The 24,692-nt window shown below is 40.0% G+C and overlaps 1 protein-coding gene across 8 annotated transcripts in view, besides 1 other annotated feature; it reads left to right on the forward strand.

The window, feature by feature from the left end:
- Positions 1–18,256, forward strand: part of KDM3A (lysine demethylase 3A) — a 55,673-nt gene extending 37,417 nt beyond the window's left edge. For 7 of the 8 annotated variants that reach the window (XM_047445102.1, NM_018433.6, XM_047445101.1 and 4 more), the window contains 15 exons: positions 316–530; positions 3,417–3,569; positions 3,710–3,805; positions 4,148–4,275; positions 5,707–5,902; positions 7,470–7,642; positions 7,998–8,234; positions 9,527–9,698; positions 10,482–10,569; positions 11,269–11,399; positions 14,858–14,977; positions 15,060–15,199; positions 16,421–16,597; positions 16,681–16,815; positions 17,579–18,256. In XM_047445102.1, the coding sequence (XP_047301058.1) occupies positions 316–530; positions 3,417–3,569; positions 3,710–3,805; positions 4,148–4,275; positions 5,707–5,902; positions 7,470–7,642; positions 7,998–8,234; positions 9,527–9,698; positions 10,482–10,569; positions 11,269–11,399; positions 14,858–14,977; positions 15,060–15,199; positions 16,421–16,597; positions 16,681–16,815; positions 17,579–17,659 (2,242 nt within the window). In that variant the 3' untranslated portion in view covers positions 17,660–18,256. Of the gene's footprint in view, positions 1–315; positions 531–3,416; positions 3,570–3,709; positions 3,806–4,147; positions 4,276–5,706; positions 5,903–7,469; positions 7,643–7,997; positions 8,235–9,526; positions 9,699–10,481; positions 10,570–11,268; positions 11,400–14,857; positions 14,978–15,059; positions 15,200–16,420; positions 16,598–16,680; positions 16,816–17,578 lie in introns of those variants that run through there. The other variant, XM_006712051.5, reaches the window with a different exon arrangement.
- Positions 7,346–8,545: an enhancer, noted in NCBI's record as "CDK7 strongly-dependent group 2 enhancer chr2:86708929-86710128 (GRCh37/hg19 assembly coordinates)". NCBI's record gives its function as "activates an origin of replication core promoter dependent on BRD2, BRD4, P300/CBP, MED14 and CDK7 cofactors, with strong dependence on CDK7, by STARR-seq in HCT116 cells {active_cell/tissue: HCT116}" and the evidence as "EXISTENCE:reporter gene assay evidence [ECO:0000049][PMID:35650434]".

Genomic DNA, 24,692 nt, shown 5'->3' on the forward strand with positions numbered 1-24,692 from the left:
AAGACCAGCCTGGCCAACATAGCGAAACCCCATTTCTACTAAAAATACAAAAATTAGGCGGGAGTGGTGGCAGGCGCCTGTAATCCCAGCTACGGGGGAAGCTGAGGCAGGGAGAGTTGCTTGAATTTGGGAGGCAGAGGTTGCAGTGAGCCGAGATGGCACCACTGCACTCCAGCCTGGGTGACAGAGCGAGACTCCATCCCAAAAAAAAAAAAAAAGTAATTACAAGTTGTAAATAAGTTGTGTGTGTGTGTGTGTGTGTGTGTGTGTGTGTGTGTGTGTACATTACATCTTTTTTTCCCCTGCTTCCCCTAGGTTACAATTCAACAAACATGGTGTGTTGCGGGTAGAAGGCTTCTTAACACCAAACAAGTATGACAATGAAGCAATTGGCTTGTGGTTACCTTTAACCAAAAACGTTGTGGGGATTGATTTGGACACAGCAAAGTACATCTTGGCCAACATTGGAGACCACTTCTGTCAAATGGTGATTTCTGAAAAGGAAGCTATGTCAACTATTGAGCCACACAGTAAGAGCATCTCTTAGGGGGTAGGATTTTCGAGCCCAATTTGATTTTTGTTCCTAAGTGACACCTAAGTCCTAATTGCTTGGGTTTTTTTTCACCCAGAAGTTTAGATAACTTTGGTATAATGAGGTTGCATTTTTCCTTTTGCAACAGGTTTGATCAGAGTTAGCCACCTATCTTTGGGGTTTATTTTGGGCCAATTAACAGAGGAGTGGAACTCCTTTTTTGTTAGGAAAGGTGAAGTGAGGGTGGAATTTGCACAGCCTCACCAGCAGTGCAGGCACACTAAAAGGGGATGAGGTCTCAGATTGGTTTATTTTAAAACAAAGGTTCTTAATCATGAATACATTTCGAGGAAAATAAGAATGGGAAGGCTGACTCTCAGACCTACCGAGTTAGAGTCTGCAGGGCTGGGTCCCAGACTTGAGAATGAGAACAGGTTCAGAATGGAAATGATTGTTAGAGTCAAGGTTTGAAGGGAATACTTGGAGGTTCTAGATGTGCATGTGCTTGTGTCTTCCCCTCTTTGGGAGCACTGTTACACTGATCTGGCAGCCATTAAGCCACAGGAATCAGGGTAGGTGGCACATTAGAGCCAGACCTCCTTCATGACATCTCAAGCTAGGATGTTTGGAGGACGGTGCAGCGTCTTCCTATCCATGTCCCTCTGTGGAAATGAGTTATCCAGCCAGAAGCACCATGGGGCATCTGTCTTGTAAGCCTCATATTTTCTTCCATCATTTTATCTTTACCAGTGGTTGAAGTTAAAAGTGAAGCCTTTCTATTCCTCTGGTGTGTCTCTTTTTAGACTTTGCTTAACCAAGTATGTTTGAATACAAGCATCCATGCCAGTCTTAAGAATTTTGATTTATTACCAGCAACTAACAACCTAGCTTAAGCACAAAAATAACTTATTGAATATATGTGGATACTGTCTCAGAGTCCAAGGAACAGGACTAGGTCATTCCCAGCTCTAGGAATCCAGAGCTGCCTGGGAGAAAGGGAATTGCGAGTGCCTGGGACAACCAGAGCTATTCTTTAGAATTACTTCATTCTGCTGGGGTAGTGGAGACTCTAAGTCAAGAGTCTTATTATACTTTTCCCCCTGTAGTCTGTTTAAGACAAGCAATATTAGTTTTCCATTTTCAATAGAGATACAAAGTTTCTTTATTAAATATATTTAAGTAAAAGTAGTAGATTGAAAGAAAAATTCCTAAGTAACTGGTCTGGCAGTGGTACATACATGACTGCAATGTGGAAACACTTTTTTGGAATGTATTAGTGGCTTTGCTCCTGAATCAGCAGAGCTGTTTTAAGCAAGTGATGGCTTTTTCTTTGATAAAGATGAGTCATCTAAAAAATGTTTTTTTCATATAGAAAAAGGCACAGTTATCTTTTACAGCATAATTAAGAAACTCTCCTTGAAGATTTAAATGGGATTAACCTCTCCTCCTTGCCTTTTTGATTATCCTGTTGCTCTTTCTTTTCTCTGTGACAAGCTGGTCAGACTGGAGAGAGAAACTCACTGTGAGTGATACTGAAATATGCCACCATACCCAGAAGAGTTTACCTCTGATCCTGAGATTAGGGAGCAGATCTCGACTATTACTACTTTTATTCTGTCCTTTCAGTGACAAATAATCATTAAACAGGTGGCTAAGAGATCTAAGAGTACTTTCTGATGAAACAGTCTAATCCAGGTGTCCAAGATGAAGTTCATAAAATCTCATTTGTAAGATGCCTAAAGCTATATGAATTGTGCCCTGTGCAATACATTATAATGTAATGGCAGAAGTTCATTCAGCAGTTGGATTGATTTTGTATAAACTAAAGCTTGGTCATTTGGGTTGTGTTCAGTCTGAAGAAGGAATGAGTTAACCCCAAACTGGATTAGGAAAAAGATGTTCTCCATAGAACAGGAGTGCAGCAGCTTTGATCCAGTGTTGTTCAGGAGAGAGAGAGACTGACTGCCAGGAGTCTCCTAGTCAGGAGACCTTGGGCTTTTCTGTGACCCACAGAAATGTCCTCCCTTTGCTCATACTTCTGAAAGCTTGCTGATAACCTGGTTTGGTTCCCTGATTTGGCACTCCTCCATCTAGGGGAAGGGTTCAATGGCCCATCCAGTTTTGGAAGGCCTCTCCCTCCAGTTATTAGGTCTTGGCCACTGGAACAGAAAATGCTGCTTTGTGGAATCCCCGGTCGTGCCTTAATCTGCTGGATGTTTGGTTAGTGTGAGTTAGTCCTGGGTGCCTGCATCATTCCTGGCACTGGCTAAATCGAATTTCTGACTGACTGGTGAAGAAACTGATCTTGGACCATTGTGCCTGCACAAAGTTAATGTGCAACTCCCTCCAGGCCCCCTGAGAACCTTGGAGTTTTTAATGGGCAGTCTGAGTGGATGTAGGGTATCTGAATAACCTGATACTCAGTGCAGATTACTGGGTTTGTGGATCTGAGTAAATTTTTCTTTTTTCCTTTGGAGAAAGCCTGGAACATGCTGCCTTTAAATTCTGAAAGGGACTCATGACTCAGAGGTTAAGAACCACTGTTGTGTGATAACCTGTGTCTGAGCTCCAACTTGTGTAACTACTGCTGCACAGTCTGAATAGGGATTCTGCTTGGAGTTCATTCTCCTAGAGGGAGGTGAGACTGTGCCTGAATACATAAAGTGAGAAGAGGCATGAATCTGAAGTACAAATTCAAGTTACTAGGAGTGCTGAGGGGATCCAGGAACACTTCATGGGGTGGAGGACAGCATTTGCAATGAAGCCTGAACAAAGTTAATTTGAAGTCTAGTCACAGGGAGGAATGACAATAACCCCTACCTTTCGTTTTTGGTTTCAGAAGCCCTCTCCTTCCAAAGACTAAGTGATTTACTGATTTTTGCAGGACAGGTTGCTTGGAAGCGAGCTGTCAAAGGTGTTCGAGAAATGTGTGATGTGTGCGACACCACCATCTTCAACCTGCACTGGGTGTGTCCTCGGTGTGGGTTTGGAGTATGTGTGGACTGCTACCGGATGAAGAGAAAGAATTGCCAACAGGGTGAGAACCGATTTGATTCTCCTCCAGCCCCTCTACACAGTTAAATCAAGTGTTTTTGTTGATTTGTGTTTGGCGGGTTTCTTGAAGCATGTGGAGACAGAGTCTGTAAAGAACAGTTACTACAAATCAGTTATTTGCAGGTGCTGCTTACAAGACTTTCTCTTGGCTAAAATGTGTGAAGAGTCAGATACATGAACCAGAGAACTTAATGCCCACACAGATCATTCCTGGAAAAGGTATTTCATGTGCTGCAGTGATTTTCTTTCCCCTTGTCTTGGTTAACTCATGGGAGCTGGTAGTTTTGTTTTCCTTTATTACTCGTTAAGTTTATTTTAGTGTGTATTGTAAGTTGTCCAGAAATATATTAGATAATTCCTCCAACACTTTTCGAGTCAAGTTTTGTGGGATAGTTTTGTAGTAGAAAAGAAAATGCATTTTGGGGAAGGCCTCTGGAGCAGGATGAAAAGGAGGGAGTGGGAAAAGTAATCCTGTGGGGAATGCCAGCTTCTGCTCTGTAATGTTGAGGTTGAAAGTTCCTAATATCCTTGTTCAGATGTTTGCCTCTGCCCTTTCTTTAGCACTCTATGATGTTGGAGACATTGTTCATTCTGTAAGAGCGAAATGGGGAATAAAGGCAAACTGCCCTTGTTCAAACAGGCAATTCAAACTCTTTTCAAAGCCAGCCTCAAAGGAAGACCTAAAACAGGTATTTACTGCTTATGTTAAATTCAACATCTCTTGTAATTGTCATTTGTCTGTTTTTCAAATAACCCAAGGATTTCTATCAGTGCATTTGAAAGGAACCTGGGGATAGCTATCAAGTGGAAAGAGAGAGAGAAAGAATTCATACAGTTCATGTGACAGTTCAGAGACCCGTTCTGACTTTTCACATTACTTTCGTAGACTCTACTGTGGCCTCTTGTAGTAGGTTTTACATTTTTGTTTCTTGAAGAAGCACAAAGTTCTAAAGTAGTCTACCTAATAAGTAGCTGTCGAATTTGTAAAGGGTTTAAAAAAATTTTTTGTGTATTTTGCAGAATTAAAATTATTAAGATAAGCTTTAACATTTTTAAAATTACTAAATATATTTTGCCTGTGTTTATGCAGAGTTGAAGGAAATGATGAAATGAACCTTTAGTTGCCCATCACACAATGTAAAAAATGTTAATTTTCTCAGTCCTCATATGTCTCTCCTTGGTGGCATCCCTCTCCTCCCCACCATCACATGTACGTCTTGCTGTCCCTTCTCCCCCTCGTTCCAGTAATCAGTATGCCGCATTGTGTTTAATAATCAGAAATTTACATTTCTATAAAGCTGTGGTGTCATAAGGCAGGATGGGAGAGCAGAAGACTTGTAATATTTGGAGTCAGAACTGAATTTGAGTTCTTTTCCTTCCACGTGCTAGTTGTGTTACTTTGGCTGAAGTGAGCTGGTTTCTATGTGCTTCAGCTTCCTCATCAGTAATATAGAAATAAGAAGCAATATTGATGATTGGGCATCACAGAATTACATCACATGTAAAGAGAGGGCCTGGACCACAACAGGGGTTTGAATATTTTTTTTCCTCCTTCTTATGTATGTATAAACTCACTCTTGCCAGTTTTTAAAATTATTTTCTTCTACAGCAGTCATCTTAGATTTAATTTATGGGTTCTTTTAAGAGCTCATCACATTTTTAAAGCTAAGTCAAAATAGCATTTTCTCTTTCTCTGCATCCCATTTCCTTCTGAAATCACCGCTTTACCTTTCCTGCCTGCGTCATTTATTCGTTTTTAACCATGTTTTCTGTGCCTATCCTGAATTCTGGGATGAGTTCATAGGGGAGACAGGCACAAACTGGTCATTTTAAACCAGCATGGTACATAGAGTAATAGGGATATGTACCAGCAGGGGCTGGTGAAAGGGTGCGGGGGGTAATACCTTGCTGTGTTTAAGTTGCTGACATCTCTCCTACCTTTTAGTTATTCTCTACTAGTGCGGGATTACTGCAGCTGTGGGGATACCCAGGGCTAACTATTAGGTGGTTTTGTTCTGGATATTTATCTTACTTGTTGGTCGGCTATTAGGAGAGAAGAAAAGAAAAGGAAGCTGTCATTCTTCAGCTTATGTAAAATCGTCCTTTAATGCTTAACACAGACTTCTTTAGCTGGAGAAAAACCGACTCTTGGTGCAGTGCTCCAGCAGAATCCCTCAGTGTTGGAGCCAGCAGCTGTGGGTGGGGAAGCAGCCTCCAAGCCAGCCGGCAGCATGAAGCCTGCCTGTCCAGCCAGCACATCTCCTCTAAACTGGCTGGCCGACCTAACCAGCGGGAATGTCAACAAGGAAAACAAGGGTGAGTGTTTCCTGCTTTTGTGTTTGTTCTTGAGTATTTTAGTCCATTCGTGGAAGGACTTGAGAGAACAGTGGTTAGAAGTCGTGTGGAATGGAAAGTGCTTCTCTGGAGTCATCCTGGAACCTGCCACAAATGAAAGTGTTTTTGAAATGCAGCACCAAAGAGGAGAAATTTTGCTGCATTAAAATTTAGGGACTTCCACCTTCTGGCTGTGTTACAGAAGAGAAGAATTGCAGGCCACTTCTTTCATGCAAAGATCTGGAGCAAAATTTTAATGAATCAAATTTGACACTGTAAATGAAGGAATATTTGAATGTTAGACTACATCTGAATTTCTGGAAAAACCTTTATATAGCTTTAAAAATGTGATAAGGAGCTCTTAAAAGAACTCATAAATTAAGTCTAAGATGACTGTTGTAGAAAAAAATAATTTGAAAAGCTGGCAAGAGCACAGCTGGTGAGTTTATACATACCTTAGAAAGAGGAAAAGGAATATTCAAACTCCTGTTGTGGTCCAGGCCCTCTCTTTACATGTGATGTAATTCTGTGATGCCCAATCATCAATACTGCTCATTATTTCTGTATTACTGATGAGGAAGCTGAAGCATATAGAAACCAGCTCATTTGAGCCGAAGTAAGACAATTAGCAAGTGGCCGGAAAAGAATTCAAGTTTTTCAAGGTTTTTCCAGAAATGAAGATACAGTCTGACATTCAAAAATGTAGAAGAATCATGGGACAAGATGCAGGAAAACATTAAGTAAAATTCAGTACCTGTTAATGATTTACAAAAAACTTCTTAAATTAAGAACATTCTTAATCAAGAGTTTAAACCAAAAAACAAGACTGGAGACATCATAAATAGTCGTTGAATTTTTTTAAAAATTTGTTTTGAGTTTTTTTGAGACGGAATCTTGCTCTGTCCAGCCAGGCTGGAGTGCAGTGGCATGATCTTGGCTCACTGCAACACTGCACTCTGCCTCCCAGGTTCAAGCCATTGTCCTGCCTCAGCCTCCTAAATAGCTAGGATTATAGACGCCTGCCACCACGCCCTGCTAACATTTGTATTTTTAGTAGAAGTGGGGTTTTGCCATGTTGGCCAAGCTGGTCTTTGAGGTTTTTGTTTGTTTGGTTTTGTTTTTTTTTTTTTAAACAGTTTCTGTGTTCAAGAACAAGACAAAGGATATCTGTTTTCACTCTTTATTAAGCATTGTACTGGAAGTCCTGGTCAGTGCATTCAGGGAAAAAAAATGTGTAAAGAGAATGCTGCCAATATTTGTAGACAGTACATGCAAAAAATCCAAAAGAATCTACATTTACTAAACATTTGTCAGGGTTGCTAGATACAAAGGTCAATTTACAAAATTCCATTGTACTGGATAGTTATTGTTTTTAACATCAGTGAGGAATCGTCTAAGTAAATCATATCATTCATACTTACTCCCTAAAGTATTTTTTTTGTTTCAGTAAATAGAAAGCAAGTTCTAAAGTAATTCTGCTAGTAGAATACTAATAAGGGATTTGCCTTTCAGAATGTTTTTTCATCTGGATGTTTTGGTTTTATTTTAGAAAAACAACCAACAATGCCAATTTTAAAGAATGAAATCAAATGCCTTCCACCCCTCCCACCTTTAAGCAAATCCAGCACAGTCCTCCATACGTTTAACAGCACAATTTTGACACCCGTAAGCAACAACAATTCTGGTTTCCTCCGGAATCTCTTGAATTCTTCTACAGGAAAGGTATGTGTTTGTTTGTTGGTATTCCATGTTTTAAAGTTGAAGACAGAACAGGAAGAGAGTAGAGAAGTTGGAACTGAAAGTAGAAAGGAGACTGAATCACATACTTACCTTTGTGGGTTCAGAAGGCTGAGTCACTGGAGGATGGGTTTTATGGGACTATAGTTCTGAGCTGGGCCACTTTCTCCTGTTACCTCACTTCTATGAGTTGTCAAGTGGGGACAGGGGACGTACCTTTTTGCCTGGGGGTCCTGGCTTGGAATCTTCTGGATATGTAATCTATACTCATTATGGGAATGGAGTTTCTTGATGGTAAGGGAATGACATATTTGAGACTTTTGTTCTTTCTCCAATTCAGACAGAAAATGGACTCAAGAATACACCAAAAATCCTTGATGACATCTTTGCCTCTTTGGTGCAAAATAAGACGACTTCTGATTTATCTAAGAGGCCTCAAGGACTAACCATCAAGCCCAGCATTCTGGGCTTTGACACTCCTCACTATTGGCTTTGTGATAATCGCTTGCTGTGCTTGCAAGACCCCAACAATAAGAGCAACTGGAATGTGTTTAGGGAGTGCTGGAAACAAGGGCAGGTAATGTAGGCCTCCCATCCTCCTGCCCTATTCAGAACCCCCTTCTCAGTTCCTTTAGCAGACTTCTGACAACCCCACCCCAGGCTTTCCCCCTCCTTCACCTCCTGTTTTATTCTTTATTGTTTCAGGTGAATATAATCAGGTCAGGATGTGGCCATGGGTCTTACTTTTTAAAGCAGATGGTCCTAAGCTGGACTTTTCCAGTCAGGTTTTTGTTGCTTCCTACCAGTCCCTGTTGGGTTTTTGACGAGGGCATCCAGGCTTGGTGATTCCTATGGTAAACTTCAGCAGAGGAAGTGAGGGTGTGACTACAGGCTGATGGGATTTGGGAGATCAGACAAAATGTGCTACAAAATCATGCACCCCTCTTACCTGAATGAAAAGCCTGTGCTGAAGGCAGTTCTAGGTGGGCTAGGGCCGCGTGGTGTCACATAGTCCCCAGGTGCCTGCTTCAAAGGGCAGTGTTGTTGGATCTTAAGTGCCGGTTAATATCTTTAGGAGAATTTCTAGGCCTGCTTCTGTGCTTTCTTGTTTTGGTTCTGTTTTCTGGATCTCTGGCTTCTCTGTTTGGCCAGATAGGGTCTTTGCTAAAGGAACACTCTGCTCTTGGACAAGAATTTGGGAGAATTGCCAAACAGAAAGATGTGAGTGTTTAACCAAAAATAAATTTCCAAAATGTTTTTCTCCATCCAGTGTACTAATAGGATTTGCTCATTTAATCATATATAGACAAGAAACAAAATGATGGGCTGAATACAGTTTATCGGCAGGCTTTCTTTCTTGCTTGTCAATATTTTAATGTTAGACTATTTCACATAAAGGTTAGAGCTTCTGGGTTGTCTTAGACGGCCAAAAGATTTGGCACCCTCACACAGCCAGTAGTAGTGAGGGGTGTCACAGGCCATATTCCTGCTTGGCAATAACAGGCTCAAGTACGGTGGGGTCAGTCACCCTGTTTCACTGGTGACTGGTGTCACTGGACACTCCTTCCAGCGCTTGTCTTCTTCACAGTCCGTCTTGCTGTAAGTAATGAGATCTTACTAGGAGAGGTGATCCTTTCTCCTAGATGCTTACCCATGTAGTTTGAGAGCAAGGGTGTGTAGCAGATGAATGGTGAAGGTTGGAGGTGCTTTGGGAGCTCAGAGAACTAAGCCGAAACTGTCACATCACCATCTGAGACGGAGCACCAGCTCCATGGAAATATACCAATAGCAGTGTGAAGAGGGACTGCCTTCGGGAGTGGGGACAGAGCTGGCAGAGTTCAGACTAAAGTTTTCCTTCTCTTCATTTAGCCAGTGATGGTGTCTGGAGTGCATCATAAATTGAACTCTGAACTTTGGAAACCTGAATCCTTCAGGAAAGAGTTTGGTGAGCAGGAAGTAGACCTAGTTAATTGTAGGACCAATGAAATCATCACAGGAGCCACAGTAGGAGACTTCTGGGATGGATTTGAAGATGTTCCAAGTATGTATGAAAGATCTTTTAAGGGGGTTGGGGATGTGAAAGGAGGGGACACAGGAATGGCAGGAGTCTGAGACCCATCAGTGGCAGCCGCAGCATTTTCCAGGATTTTGGAGTTTAAAATTAACGTCTCTCCTCCCCTTCCTTGTTACAATGTTTATGCTTTTAAACACTGAGGCATTATTACCTGTTCTGTTGGTCTTTGTTGTCCCTGGACAGAACATCAGATAGGGTCAGTCTCTCTCTCTGAGCAGAATAAGTAATTTCTGTTGCATGCTGGCCTCAGAAAAATGGGTTTACTAAACACCTGTGACCCTTGATGGTTGACGTGCATTGCTGTTGGTTAGTTGGGATGCTGCTCACTTCTTCTGGAACACTGTAGAGGAGGAGCAGATTGGATCGATGACAGCTGTTGAAATACCACCTACATGCAGTGGGCAAAAGGGAGCGGCTGAATCTCCCAAGAATGAGTAGCAGCTTAATAAGCTTCTAGGAAAGACAAGGCCCTGACACAGATCCATTAGTTGGTGATCTTTATTTTGCTGCACCTTGCTGCCTCCTGGGTACAAATGGATTTTTTTACACTGCAGAAATAAAATGGTGGATAGTTGGTAGGAGGGGAAAATTAAGGAAAAGTAATATTTGTATACTAAATTTATCAGGTTATGAAAATTTTGCAGAGACATATTTTATTTGTATTGTTGAGGCATAAAATGCTAATTTGTCATTTATTTTGGTCTGTTTCTGAATTATAAATAGTAATAGTTCATTCTGTTTACCTTTCAGATCGTTTGAAAAATGAAAAAGAACCAATGGTGTTGAAACTTAAGGACTGGCCACCAGGAGAAGATTTTAGAGATATGATGCCTTCCAGGTATGATTATGAAGGTGGGGAGAGATGATTCTGTCCTTCACTTGGTAGGATAAATTCTTTTTTGAGGTAGTGAGAAAACAGTTTTCAAGAAAATAACAAAAGTTCTGTAATTATACTGCCACTGATTTTTCATTTCTAGTCTGTAGTCATTGGAGGCATGTTTATTTTTAGATGAGATGAAGAAGTGATTGGCTTTTAGGCCTGGCTGACTAATGGAACACCACAGATTTTCCATGGTAGGCCCTGCTAGAGAAGAGGCTCACTTTTTCTTACAAGGCTGATTTGGAGGCAGTTGTGGAATCTGACCTGTCAGGGTCAGGACAATGTAGTCACAGCACTGAGTTAGACAAGAAGACATCTACTGGGTAGATCTATTTTCCTGACTGAGCTTGAAACTTTGAAAAGGGTGTCACAACTAATCAATGATATATCTCTAAGAATAACTTTTTGTCTAGAATTTATTGCTGAGATCTTTTGTCTGAACGGTTACAGCTGATTTTGACACATTGGTGTGTTGTAGGAGAGAGAGAAGACATCTTTGTAACTGCTGTACTTCTCATCTTAAATATTTGATGGCTGTCAGTCTGCATGATCACAGATGGATTTGTTCCTTTTGGTGTAGAAGGAACAAAACAGGTTACACAATAATGAATTAGAAAAGCAATCTAACTTTGCAAATTCCTGGTTCTGTTGTTCTAGGTTTGATGATCTGATGGCCAACATTCCACTGCCCGAGTACACAAGGCGAGATGGCAAACTGAATTTGGCCTCTAGGCTGCCAAACTACTTTGTTCGGCCAGATCTGGGCCCCAAGATGTATAATGCTTATGGTAAGGAGGAGATGGCTAACTTTAAAATGGAAATAAAACAATTCAAAATGTTTGGAAAATTGATTTTGTGGGAGGGAGAGGTGGAAAACACCCATAATCCTAATGCGTAATACAGCCACAGCTTTCATTTTTACATATTTCCTTTCGTTCCCTGGCCACATGTTTGTGTGTTTCTTTTCATAGTTGCAGTTGTAGGGCATATGCAATTTTGTGTTTTTCCCTTTACTGTACCTAATTTTACATTGTAAAATCTTTACATGTTACTTAATAGTCTTTAGATGACTTTTAATGGTGTGTGATACATCATTGAGAGAATGTACTTTTATTAGTGATTTCAGTGTTCGGACATTTAGGTCAATCTGCTGGCATTCTAGCTGTCTTAACATCTGCTACAATTAAATGCAGTGTTCTGTGTTGTTGAGTAGAAGTTAGTTACTTAGGATTCAAAGTACCCTTTGAGTTGGACTTTTATTCTTTTGACATGACTCAATACTCACTGTCTAACAAGGAGGATGCCTGGGATAAAGATTGGTTTCTCCATTTACCAGAGCTTTCTTTCATCATCATTATAACTGAGATCTTCGTCAGTTTTACACATGGCCTTTAATTAGGGCTGGATTCGAGTTGGCCATTTTGAAGGAAGTATGTATTGTTGAATGCAGTTCTAGTTGTTTGAATATTTCAGTGAATTTTATTTACTCATTTTTACTATTTGGCCCCTACTTTTCCAGTCCTCCTGGAAATTACTTATTTCTTCCTGCCATAATTACTTCCATGTCATTTTCCATTTCTAGCCTTAGACCTGTGGGTGTCTTTCTCAAAAAGGACAAGGTCTGTTGTTGTCTTCGCTATGTTCTCCAAAGACTGTTGGGGGAGGGAAGGGAAGGAGGGGCAAGGACTCCAGCCCCACAATTCTGTTACGGTTGAGTCAGCTCAGGGAACCACTAGGAGTGTAGTTGGGGACTGTTGTGACAGGGGAGTGTTTTTGTGTGCAAGCTCCCAGCAGTCTCCATGCCCAAGATAGTTCTGCCAGGGTAGGGGTACCAGAGAAATTGTGTGTGGGTGAGAAGACCCGGTGGGCACAAGGCCTCTTGCCTGTTCCTCACTTCTCAGGTCTCTGTTGGTGAGTCCTCCATGTGCTGTGGGTCTGCAGTGTGCTCTCTCGAGGTCCTGTCCCTCGAGCCCCTCAGAGACTGATTAAAGCAGCTGCATGGTTGGGATCTTGGGCAAACTTAAGTATATAAGAGCATTTTTCCAATAAATTGTATAGTTTATCCATGCTTTATAGAAATCCTGAAGCTTTAAAGGTGGGTATCTGAGAAATTTTCAAAAGAATTGCTTGCGTGGTTTAACTAGCTTGGCAGCGGGTCTTTCCCCCTAGACACTAATAGATGGCAGTGTTACTCTATAAAAGCTTTTCCTATGACAAAATGGTTCCCATCCAGAAGCAAGCATTCAGAAGGATGAAAATAATGATGTGTTCATTTTCAAACACCTTATATCTTATTGTAAACATCATTAAAGAGTGGTCTTTTCAAAGGTTGTGTGATTGAGCTGTGACTCTTCCATGAGAGTAAGTGCAAAGGCTCTTTGGAGAGATCATATAATCCAGCCTCTCTTCAGTTCCTGCAACACCCCCCATTTTGCAAATGAGGACCAGGACTTGCGGACAGTAGAAGGGGCATTGACTTGTTCAGGATCTCCAAGGGGCAGCTAGTGGCAGGTCTGAAACTAGTACTTAGATCTCCTGATTTCCAAGCTAGAGCCCATTTCCCTACTCTTCCCCCACTCTTAACTCCCCATCACCCAACAGCCCCTACTGTTTCAGCTTTTTTTCCCCCTTAAAAGTCCATGGTGTTTTGTTTCAGGATGTTTTGTTGTCTAGCACTCCTTTCCCTTTGACCATTATGTTTTTACAATTTTGGTTTCATCTCAGTTTACCATGGTTTAGAGTCTGGTTTTATCAATGTACAGTTACCCATGACTGGGATCCAGTGGACTTTGGGCCAGTGGCTGGGCAGCAGTTATTTCCTTGCTCGTTTTGCACTGTGGCACTGGCTGGATCAGCAGGCAGCCAGTCCTGCTGAGGCTTTGCCTCCTAGTCTCCTTTCCTTACTTTTCTTGCCAGCTCCATCCTCTTCCTATTGCCCTTAGTCTAACCACCATCTTCAAGTTTGTGTTTATCGTTTGCTTATATTTACAATTTTAACATATATATTTGTATTCCTGCACAATATTCTTTCAGTTTTTAGCCTGCTTTTGAACTTCATATAAATAGAATCAGATTTTTTATATTCATCCATGCTGTCATATATCATCCATGTGTTCATTTCATTCATTTTATTTCTATTACATTAATTGCTTTTTTCTGAAATTTTGCTTTTTACTATGGAACTATTTTTCAAATACAGTGAAAACTTGAGAGTCTGGTAGTGACTCCATATAACTCATCACCCAGTTATATAACAGCTTTTAACTTTTTGCCATAATCGTTTCATTGTCTTCTCTCTTTATGTTTTTTCATCATCCTCTCAACTATCCTATGATTTCACCCTAATACCAAACGCTTTACCTACTCCCAGGACTGATATTTCAGCAAGCTGGAAAGAAAGGAAAGTACAACAGGGCTCTGGGGGCCCTGGTCCCAAGCTGGAGTGAAGAAATGTGCCCTCTCAAAAGTATAGCCCCTCTAAAACCAAAGCCCCAGGCAAGCCAGAGATAAAGCCTTCCTCCAAAACAGTATTATGGGGCGTTTTCAGAGGCTGGCAGGTTAGAAAACAGCCGCTGCTTGCTCACTACAAGCTGTGCTTCTCCCTACTGCCCAGTCTAAGAAGCAGAGTCCTGGTGTTACAATGGGTTGCCCAAAGTGACTGCAGGGTAAGCTTCAGGATGATTGTTGAGCAAGGTGAGCTTTCTCCTGTGAGCAAGGAATTAGCCACAGACTGAACACTGTGGGGGACCTGTCTTTCTGGCTCACTCCTCACCCCTCCTCTTTTACAGTTGAGAGAACCAAGGAATGCGTTGGGCAGTATTCCTTCTTATACTCATGATAGCCATTTGACGTTCCAGGTTTATGTGTGTGTGTGGGTGGGTGCTTTCCCTTGGACTCCCCATCTCGAGTGGTCCTTGGGCTTTGTCTCTTGCCCCAGAACTCCTAGGCTGTGGCAACAATCAAAGCCTGAGCTCACTTGATCTAGCAGATGTCCTTTTGGCAAATCCCAGCTTCGGAAGCCTGCTTTAACCACTTCCATTTCCTGCTGTTTTTGGCTTCTGAGTATTCCTTCTTTTCTTGCTAGCACATCGATTGGTTAAAGAATTTTTTTGCAATAATTTGATCCAGAATTTTTATTCTCAGCAGAAGAGTCAATCAGGGACCTACCATCCCCCAGGTAGGTAGTGGAAAGACTGTGGCAGCCTTTGTTGTCTTTTGTAAAACTTAAGGCACTTTGTTTTTGCAGGATTAATCACTCCTGAAGATCGGAAATATGGAACAACAAATCTTCACTTAGATGTATCTGATGCAGCTAATGTCATGGTCTATGTGGGAATTCCCAAAGGACAGTGTGAGCAAGAAGAAGGTAGGGTGCTGAGCATAAAAGGAGGGCTTACTCTTTGAGCCAGGGCTTGTGGTCTGATATCTGCTTTCTCTTCTTGCTCTAGAAGTCCTTAAGACCATCCAAGATGGAGATTCTGACGAACTCACAATAAAGCGATTTATTGAAGGAAAAGAGAAGCCAGGAGCACTGTGGCACATATATGCTGCAAAGGACACGGAGAAGATAAGGGAATTTCTTAAAAAGGTGTGCTGCTTATGGCATGTGTGAACAGAGGCATAAGGAATAGCAATATTATGTTACTACATGTGGTGAACTGACTGGCTTGGCTAGGGGAATTGTCACAACCTGAAAAGTTAAATCTGTACCTGTCAGATTGAATAGGCTGAAGGTGGTTGCTAAGGAACAAGGATTCTAAATGATTAGGGTTACACTTCTAAAAAAAGCAGGCCTTGTCTTTTATGTCTGTGTTTTGTGTTAGAGTGCATTTAGAGATTTTTGTTCTCTGCTTTCAAGTTAGAAGTTAGTTCATCTGATCATCTCCCAGCATATATCTGTTTTTATTGCCTTGAGAATCTGAGCACTTCAGACGTTCATGTATCCTTGGCCCTGAGTGACCATGTTCTGAGTGAGTTGCTAAGTTTGGTTTTGTCCACTGTCATGTAGCAAGTGGTCCTACTTGTTACTAGCAAGGGTTGCAGGGATTTGGAAGATTCTAGGTTTCCCCTGTAGTTGGCAGGTTTTTTTTTCAGCAAGGGCTATGTGTGGAAATTCTAGGCAACTAGAAAGATGAGTCGTGTTCAGTTTTAAAATTGTTTGGCACTGAGGCTGCCGGTTGCAACTCAGGTGTCTTTGGCTGATATTCTTCAGTCATTCATGAGTCTTGGATATGAACATTCGTAACCTGTTAGCTGGCCCCAAGTATGTCTTTAACAAGCATTTGTTTGAATCAAAGTGTTTCTGGCTAAGGATCATTTGGCTCTTCCAGAAAACCGGCTTGGTCACCATATTGTTCTTTTGATATTGTCACTCTGAGTCTCTGCTTTACCAGTTACTGGATCAAGGATAAACAAGTCTAATCTGCAGCTGTCTTTGGGACTGTTTCGTAAGTCAGATTAAGTAAAGGCAGGTTTCTAATAACTTTAAAACAAGTTCATTTATAAGGATACTGAGCCTACTTATGTTTAAAAATCTAGACTAAAATATTGTTTAAATACAGTATTTACAAACTTATGCAGAGCCTGTCAGTCATGGTTTATGGGAACTGACATCACATTTTCTTCGTCATTCTTCTGTTGGTTCATTCAGCTGAAGTCTTTGATACTACTAGTCGTCTTCTGCCAATGGGGGCACTTAAGTTGAAGAAGGCCTGACATTTATGAACTGCCAACACTGTTTAGAGGAAAAAAATGGCTTATTGGGCCTTAGCATGTTACTGAGTTGCATAATATTTTGAATGTATTCTAGGTATCAGAAGAGCAAGGTCAAGAAAACCCAGCAGACCACGATCCTATTCATGATCAAAGCTGGTATTTAGACCGATCATTAAGAAAACGTCTTCATCAAGAGTATGGAGTTCAAGGCTGGGCTATTGTACAGTTTCTTGGGGATGTGGTGTTTATCCCGGCAGGAGCTCCACATCAGGCAAGAATCATTACTTTTTCTTTAATCTCTTTATGTCATGAACTTTTGGGTTTGTTACTGATATATTACTTGGTGTTTTTCAGGTTCATAACTTATATAGCTGCATCAAAGTGGCTGAAGATTTTGTTTCTCCAGAGCATGTTAAACACTGCTTCTGGCTTACTCAGGAATTCCGATATCTGTCACAGACTCATACCAATCACGAAGATAAATTACAGGTAAAAATAGCACCAATTCCTAGCATTCTTTGGCTATGGCTATGGCTTCATGGCCCATTCTTCACCTTATAAAGAGAGTCAGTGAACTTGGCCATATCGTACTTAGTACACAGTGAGTCGAGGAACTTGCTTTATATCTAGTACTACTATCTACTTAAGTGAGGGAGGAACAAGAGGAAATCTCACCTTGGTTTGATTTGATATTGTTTAGAATCTATAAGGGACTGTCCCCACAGAGAAAGGCCTTAGTACTGAAAATGAATAGATGTGACTTCTGATCTTGGCCCAGCTGCCTGTCGGGGTCTTGAACACAGTGCTTAACCTTCAGTGCTGCAGTGTTCTCATCACTCTTAGGTAGAGCAGAACTGAATCTCTGAGACTCAAAGAGGTCTGAGGGGGTGGTATTTTCAAAAGGATTTCAGTAATGAATTATGTAACATAATTTCATGTTTGGAAAATAAGGGAAAAATGATAAAAGCTGTACCTTGGAACTTGCCTCTCCCTGTACTCACTGTGAGTAGGTCTACGTGGTATCAAAACCTCTAAAAGGGGGAAAATGAGTTCTTGAAATCATGGGTTTAAAATGTATGTGAAATACTGGTCTGAAGGAGCCCAGGGACCTTTTGCAATGTTGACATTTCATACGAATATTGAATTTTAAATTCTGAGAGAAGGTAATAAAATTAGTAGGAGGAAGCTTATTCTTAGTGACAGGTTTTAGATTTAAATGTAAAATGCCCATATTTTCTCCTACTATTTTTAGGTGAAGAATGTTATCTACCATGCAGTGAAAGATGCAGTTGCTATGCTGAAAGCCAGTGAATCCAGTTTTGGCAAACCTTAATCTCCCTGCACATTGGAAATGAATTACAGGCAGCTGTTCAAACTCTTCAGGCAGGATTCCTGTGGACTTTGAGATTCATGTTACCTCATCTTCTTTTTTAAACTGTACCCAACTTGTGAGGGTACTCTGTCTAATGTATATTTCTAGTGTTTACAGACAGTAAATGTGTATATGTAGTAACTATTTACAGAACATGCATCCTTAAACTGTGACTTCTCACCTAGTGCAGAACTTTTACCAGGCTGTAAAAGCAAAACCTCGTATCAGCTCTGGAACAATACCTGCAGTTATTCTTCAGCTGTTTGGACAACTTAGATTGGGTTTATAACTATTAGGAATCACTGCACAGTTTATTTGGGTTGTGTTTTGTGTCTGAGTCCCCTCCCTCATCCCTTAGGGTCCAGAAGAGCAATGGAGGAAGTGACAGCTAATGTTGCAGTTCTTATTGTATGGCATAGGACTGGCATTATATAGCAGAAATCAACTACTGTACAATTTCTTGGGGTTAACCATCTTTAGTTAAATGGAATTTTAATTTAAATGACGCTTTGCTAATTTTAAGTGTTAAGCATTTTGCATTAAAATATTCATATAATATTTTGGCTCAGTTTATTGGCATTATCCTCTCATTGTGGTTTCAACACAACTTTCTTCAAATGCAGGTGTAATGGATTGCTCCAAGAACTCTTCTTAAAAGCAAAGAAATCAGATGCTATAGTGATTTTCTTAGTGATTATTACAAAGCTAACATGGAAATTTCTGCTCAGCCAGGTAGAAACCCTGTCACACTTTGTCAAGGAAACACCACCAATTAATTAAATTTAGAAACAGGAATTAACCAAGAAACCAAATAGTGCCAGGCTAAATGGTTCTAAAAAGGTAAGTAATGAAACACTTTGTTTTATGGCCCTTCATAATGTTAAGTTTATGAAGGAAAATGAAATTATAAGTTCTAGGACAGTACTACCTAAAATATTCATCTCTGTGAAGGAAAAAAATTCACAAAGAAGCGCCTTTCTTTAGCCCACTGATTCTCCTAGGCCACTCTTTCATTTAATTTCTTTAAAAAAAGGAATTAAACATAGAAATCAGATAGTACATAGACAAAGCCTAGAACCTGAGTTTTAATTTGTGAGCTGAGTAGGAGGCCAGAGGATCCGTATTAAATTTCAGAACCCATTGTCAAATCTAAGGTCAAAGATTTGCTCTAATGTTTTCTTCTAGGAGTTTTAAAATTTTAGCCCTTAAATTAAGTCTTTGACCTATTTTGAGTTAATTATTAAATATGGTGTAAAGATTCAACTTCATTTTTTTGAATATGGATATCCAGTTTTCCCAGCAACATTTGTCGTCAAACACTGTTCTTTCCCCCATTGAATGGTCTTGGCACTCTAGTTAAAAATCAATTGATCGTAGATGGGAAAGCATATTACTAGGCTCTCATATTCCACTGGTCTGTGTATCTGTCTTTATGCCAGTACTGCACTGTTTTGATTTCTGCTACTTTGTAGTAAGTTTTAAAATCAACAACTGTGAGTTCTCCAACTCTGGTCTTCTTTTTCATGATTGTTTTAATCAGGGTCACTGGAAATTCCGTACGAATTTTGGGATAGGTTTTTTTATTTCTGCAAAAAACACCATCTGGGTATTAATAGAGATTGCATTGAACCTGTATGTTCCTTTGGGTGTCATCTTAACAATCTAATTCTTGCAATCCATGAGCATGGGATGTTGTGTTTCCATTTATTGGTGTCTTCTTTAATGTCTTTCAGCAATGTTTTGTAGTTTTCAGTTGCATGAGTTTTGTACCTTCATGGTTAAATTTATTCCTAGGTATTTTATTCTTTTTTTGCTATGATAAATGAAATTATTTTTCTTTTTGTATTGCTAGCATTTATAAGTGCAACTGATTTTTGGTGTTGGTTTGTATTTTGCAACTGTACATATAAAATCATGCCATCCGTGAACAGGGATAATTTTACTTACTCCTGTATATAATCTGGATACCTTTCTTTTTCTTGCCTAATTGCTCTGGTTAGAATTTTCAGTTCCATGTTCAATAAAAGTAGTGAAAGTGGGCATCCTTGTCTTGTTCCTCATCTTTAGGGGAAAGCTTTCAGAGTGATTTAGCTGTGTATTTTTCATCTATGGCCTTTATGCTGTTAAGGAAGTTCTCTTCTATTTCTTAAGTTTTTATTGTTTTCTTTTTTTATCCTGAAAGGGTGTTGGATTTTGTCATATGCTTTTTTCTGCAACAGTAGAAACCACGTGGTTTTTCCTCCATTCTTCATTCTATTAATGTGGCATATACATTGAATAATTTTCATATGATGAACCACCTGTGTATTCTTAAGATAAATCTCACTTGGTTGTGGTGTATAGTCCATTTAATAGGTTACTGGACTTGGTTTTCTAGTATTTGGAAGATGTCTGCATCTGTAACCATAAGGGTTTGTTGTAGTTTTTCTTGTGGTATCTTTGTCTGAAATTGGTATCAGGATATTGCTGATATATTGAGATACAATTGTTTATAGCATTCTCTTAAAATCCTTTTTATTTGTGTAAAGTGGGTGGTGGTTTCTCCCATTTCGTATCTGATTTCAGTAACTTCTGCCCTCATCCTCATTCTCCTATAGTCAGTCTAGCTCTAGGCTTGTTAATTTTGTTGGTATTTTTATAGAACTGTCTTTTGATTTTGTTGATTTTCTGTACTATTTTTCTGTTTCCAATTTCATTTATTTCTGCTCTAATCTTTGTCTGTCCTTCGGCTAGCCCTCGGTTTAGTTTGTTCCTCTTTTTTTCTGGTTCCTTAAGGTGTACAGTTAGGTTATTGCTATGGTCTGAATGTTGTTGACTCTCAAAATTCATATATTGGAATCTAATATCCAATGTAAGAGTATTAAGAGGTGGAGCCTTTGGAAAGTAAGTTACGAGGGCTTCACCTTCATGAGTGGGATTAGGGCCCTTATCAAAGAGGCTCAAGCAAGTTCCCCTAACCTTTCGGGAATGTGAAAACACAGCTAGAAGGCACCATCCATGAAGCAGAGAGCAAGCCCTTACCAGACCATTATTTTTGCTGCCTCCCCTATGTTTCGGCACGTTTTGTTTTCATTTTCATTTATCTCAGGTTTTTTTTTTTTTTTTTTTTGAGACAGAGTCTTGTTCTGTCACCAGGCTGGAGTGGAGTGGTGCGATCTCAGCTCACTGCAACCTCTGCCTCCTGGGTTCAAACGATTCTCCTGCCTCAGCCTCCCAAGTAGCTGGCACTGCAGGTACGTGCCACCATGCCCAGCTAATTTTTGTATTTTTGGTAGAGACGGGTTTTCACCATGTTGGCCAGGGTGGTCTCAATCTCTTGACCTCATGATACGCCCACCTCGGCCTCCCAAAGTGCTGGGATTACAGGCGTGAGCCATATCTCAGGTATTTTCTAATTTCCCTTGTGATTTCTTCCTTGACCCTTTGATTGTTTTAAGATTGTGTTAATTTCCACATATTTGTGAATTTTTTAGTTTTCCTCTGTTACTGATTTCTAATTTTATTCCATCCTGGTTGGCAAAGATATTTTGTATAATTTCAGTCTTTTTAAATTTCTTGAGACTTGTTTTGTGCCCATATGGTTTATGCTGGAGAATGTCCCATTTGCATTTGAGAACAATGTATATTTTGCTGTTGTTGGGTGGGTCATTCTGTATGTCTGTTGGGTCTATTTGGTATATAGTGTCATCCAAGTCCTCTGTTTCTTTATTGATGTTCTGCCTGGTTGTCATGTTGGTTATTGAAAGTGGGATATTGAAGTCGCCAGCTATTACTGTAGAACTATTTCTGTCTTCAATTCTGGCAATTTTTGCTTCATGTCTTTTGGAATTTCTGTTGTTAGGTGCATATATGTTTATAATTATCATATCTTCTTAATGGATTGGTCCTTTCATCAACATATAATGTCCTTCTTTGGTGTCCTGAAATCTTAAACTGAAATCTGTTTTGTCTGACAATTATATAGATAACCCCAGCTTTCTCGTGGTTACCATTTCTATGGGCTCTTTTCCATCCTTTTACTTTTTTAACCTTTTTTTCTTTGTATCTAAATTGTCAGCATATATAGGTAGATCATGTTTTTTTATCCCTTCCATCTGCCTTTTAATTGGAGTTTAATACATTTAGAGTAATTAGATGACTGACTTCTGCTTTTTATCTGGTATGTTTTATCTGGTTTTTGTTACTTAAAATCCCACCATTACTGCTTTATTTCATATTTAGTTGAAACTTTGTACTGTACCATTGTTTCCCCTTTTCTTTCCTTTTGTATATATTTTTAAGTTATTTTCTTGGTTATTCTCTCAGGAACTGCAGTTAACATCTTAAGCTTTACAAACTTTGGGAGTTTTTCTTGTTTCATTTTTGAGACAGGGCCTCACTGTGTCACCCAGGCTGGAGTGCAGTGGCACAGTCTTGGCTCACTACATCTGCCACCTGGGCTCAAGTGATCTTCCCACCTGTTTCCTGAGTAGCTGGGACTACAGGCATGCGCCACCACACTCAGCTAATTTTTTTATTTTTTATTTTTTTGTAGAGACGAGGTCTCACTGTTGCCCAGACTGGTCTCAAACTCCTGGGCTCAAGCAGTCCACCCACCTCAGCCTCCTGAAGTGCTAAGATCACAGGCGTGAGCCATTGCACCTGGCTTATAAACTGCAATAGTATACAAAAACTTTGCTGCTATACATCTTCATCCCTCCTTATTTATAGTGTTATTGTCACAGATTACATCTCTATACATTGTGCCCATTAACATAGTTTTTATTTATGCATATTTGCCTTAAGGCAAAAAATAGGAAAAAATGAATTACAAACCAGAAGTATAACTGGCTTTTATATTTACTTGGAATTATCTTTACTAGTGCTCTTATTATTTTTTTGTATGACTTTAAGTTAGTCTAGTGTTCTTTCATTTCAGCCTTAAGGTCTCGCTTTAGCATTTACTATATGGCAGATCTGCTAGAAACAAACTCCCTTCATTTTTGCTTTTCAGGGAATGTCTTAGTTTCTCCTTCATTCTTGAAGGATAATTTCCCTGGAATATAATTCTTCATTGACAGCTTTTTTCTCCCCAGCATCTTGAATATGTTATCCTTACAGCCGTCTGGCCCCCGTGGATTCTGATAAGAAATTACATTGAGGATCACTTTTACATAGTGAGTCACTTCTCTCTTGCTGCTTTAAATATTTTTTTTTTTTTAAGTTTGTCTGTCGTGTCTCATTGTGGATCCCTTTGGGTTTATCCTGTTTGGAATTCAGTTTCTTGGATTCTTATCTTTCAGATTTTAGAGGTTTTCAACCATTATATCATCTTCAAATATTGTCTTTTTGTCTCCCTCTGATACTGCCATAATGTGTATGTTGGTGAGCTTGATGGGCTTCCACAAGTCCTTTGGCTTTTCTTCATTCTTTTCTCTTTCTGTTCCTTAGACTGATTTTTTGAGACAGGGTCTCACTCTGTCACCCAGGCTGGAGTGCAGTGGCATGATCACAGCTCATTGCAGCCTCAACCTCCCAGGCTGAGGTGATCCTCCTCCCAGTTCAGCCTCCAAGTTGCTGGGAACTACAGGTGTGTGCCACTATGCCTGGCTAATTTTTTTTTTTTTTTTGTAGAGATGGGGTCTTGCCATGTTGCCCAGGCTAGTTTCAAACTCCTGTGCTCAAGCAATTCTCCCGCCTTGGCCTCCCAAAGTGCTGGGATTACAGGCATGAGCCACCAAGCCCAGCCTCAGACTGTATTTTTTTCAATTATTCTGTTTTCAAGTTTGCTGGTTCCTCTTTGTACCTACTCAAACCTGCTGTTGAACCCCTCTAGTGTATTTTCAAAAATTTCAAGTTAGTATACATTTGAGCTCCAGCGTTTCTGTGTGGTTCTATTTTATACTTTGTTTCTTTATTGAGATTTCATTCATAGTGTTTTCCTGGTTTCCTTTTTAGTTCATTTGTCCATGGTTTCTTTTACCTCCCCAGCTTTTCTTCCCAGGTTTTAGGCAGTCCATTGTATATTTATTTCAACTATAATCTTTTACCTCAGATAAAAGGCGCACTTTTTTCCTGATTGCCTTACAGTGTTTTCAAGCAATGCCTTCAGCTTTTCTGCCAAGGAGGTTCTCAGGCAAACCGGAGATGAGCACCTTGTGTTAGTCTCCCAGACAGGTTTATGGCAGACACATATAACTTGTGAATAAGGCCTGCTTTGTTCCCTCTGGAACCAAGGACCAGGGTCTGTGGGCTGCTGTATTCAAGACCACTGCCATGCTGGGAGGGGCAAGTAAAAATGACACAAAGCTTTCTTACCAGTATTAAGTTTCCTTTTTCTTAATCCAGATTTACTTGGTTGCTTTACAGTAACCTTTGTTTTCCAGAGCTCTGACAAAGTGGGTTCAGGGGTGTTCCCCTCTCTGGAAGGATGGGTGTTTGAACCTGTCTACTCCAACATCTTGCTGATATTCTATAAATCTATTTTTGAAACTATAATTACGTACAGGAAAGAACTTCCTTACCCTAAAACAAGGTATTTCCCCACTATGGCTTAGATCTGCATTTCTGAGATGGTTCAGTGGCTGGGGGATGTTAATTCTGATGCCTCAAAAGAAAACTGTATTGGTCAAATAAATTTGGAAAAAGCATATGAAAGCCTTAGAAACGTTCTAAAGAAAACCTGTTTTATGTTTATTTTAACCAAACATTTCCAAGTCCTAAGATCCTTTTCTTACTGATAATCAAGATTACCATTTGAAGAGCACCTGTCACTACAGTAGGACAAGAAAAATGGTCCCAGTTAATTGAAAGCTTTGAAAGCTGTATGATTTGTCAGTTGTGGGATTGGAAAAAGGCCCAAAGCAGACATGACTAGTACTATTTGGAAACAAATGAGTCAGAACCCCATCTCTCCAGGAGTTCCAAGACAAACAAACACACACCTGGAAATACATAATCAAGGTGCCTAAAGCCATGTGAGCTGTATAATTGCTAAGTGTTCTGGAAGACAGAC

This window comes from Homo sapiens, chromosome 2 (assembly GCF_000001405.40).
Source record: "Homo sapiens chromosome 2, GRCh38.p14 Primary Assembly".
Classification (NCBI taxonomy): domain Eukaryota; kingdom Metazoa; phylum Chordata; class Mammalia; order Primates; family Hominidae; genus Homo; species Homo sapiens.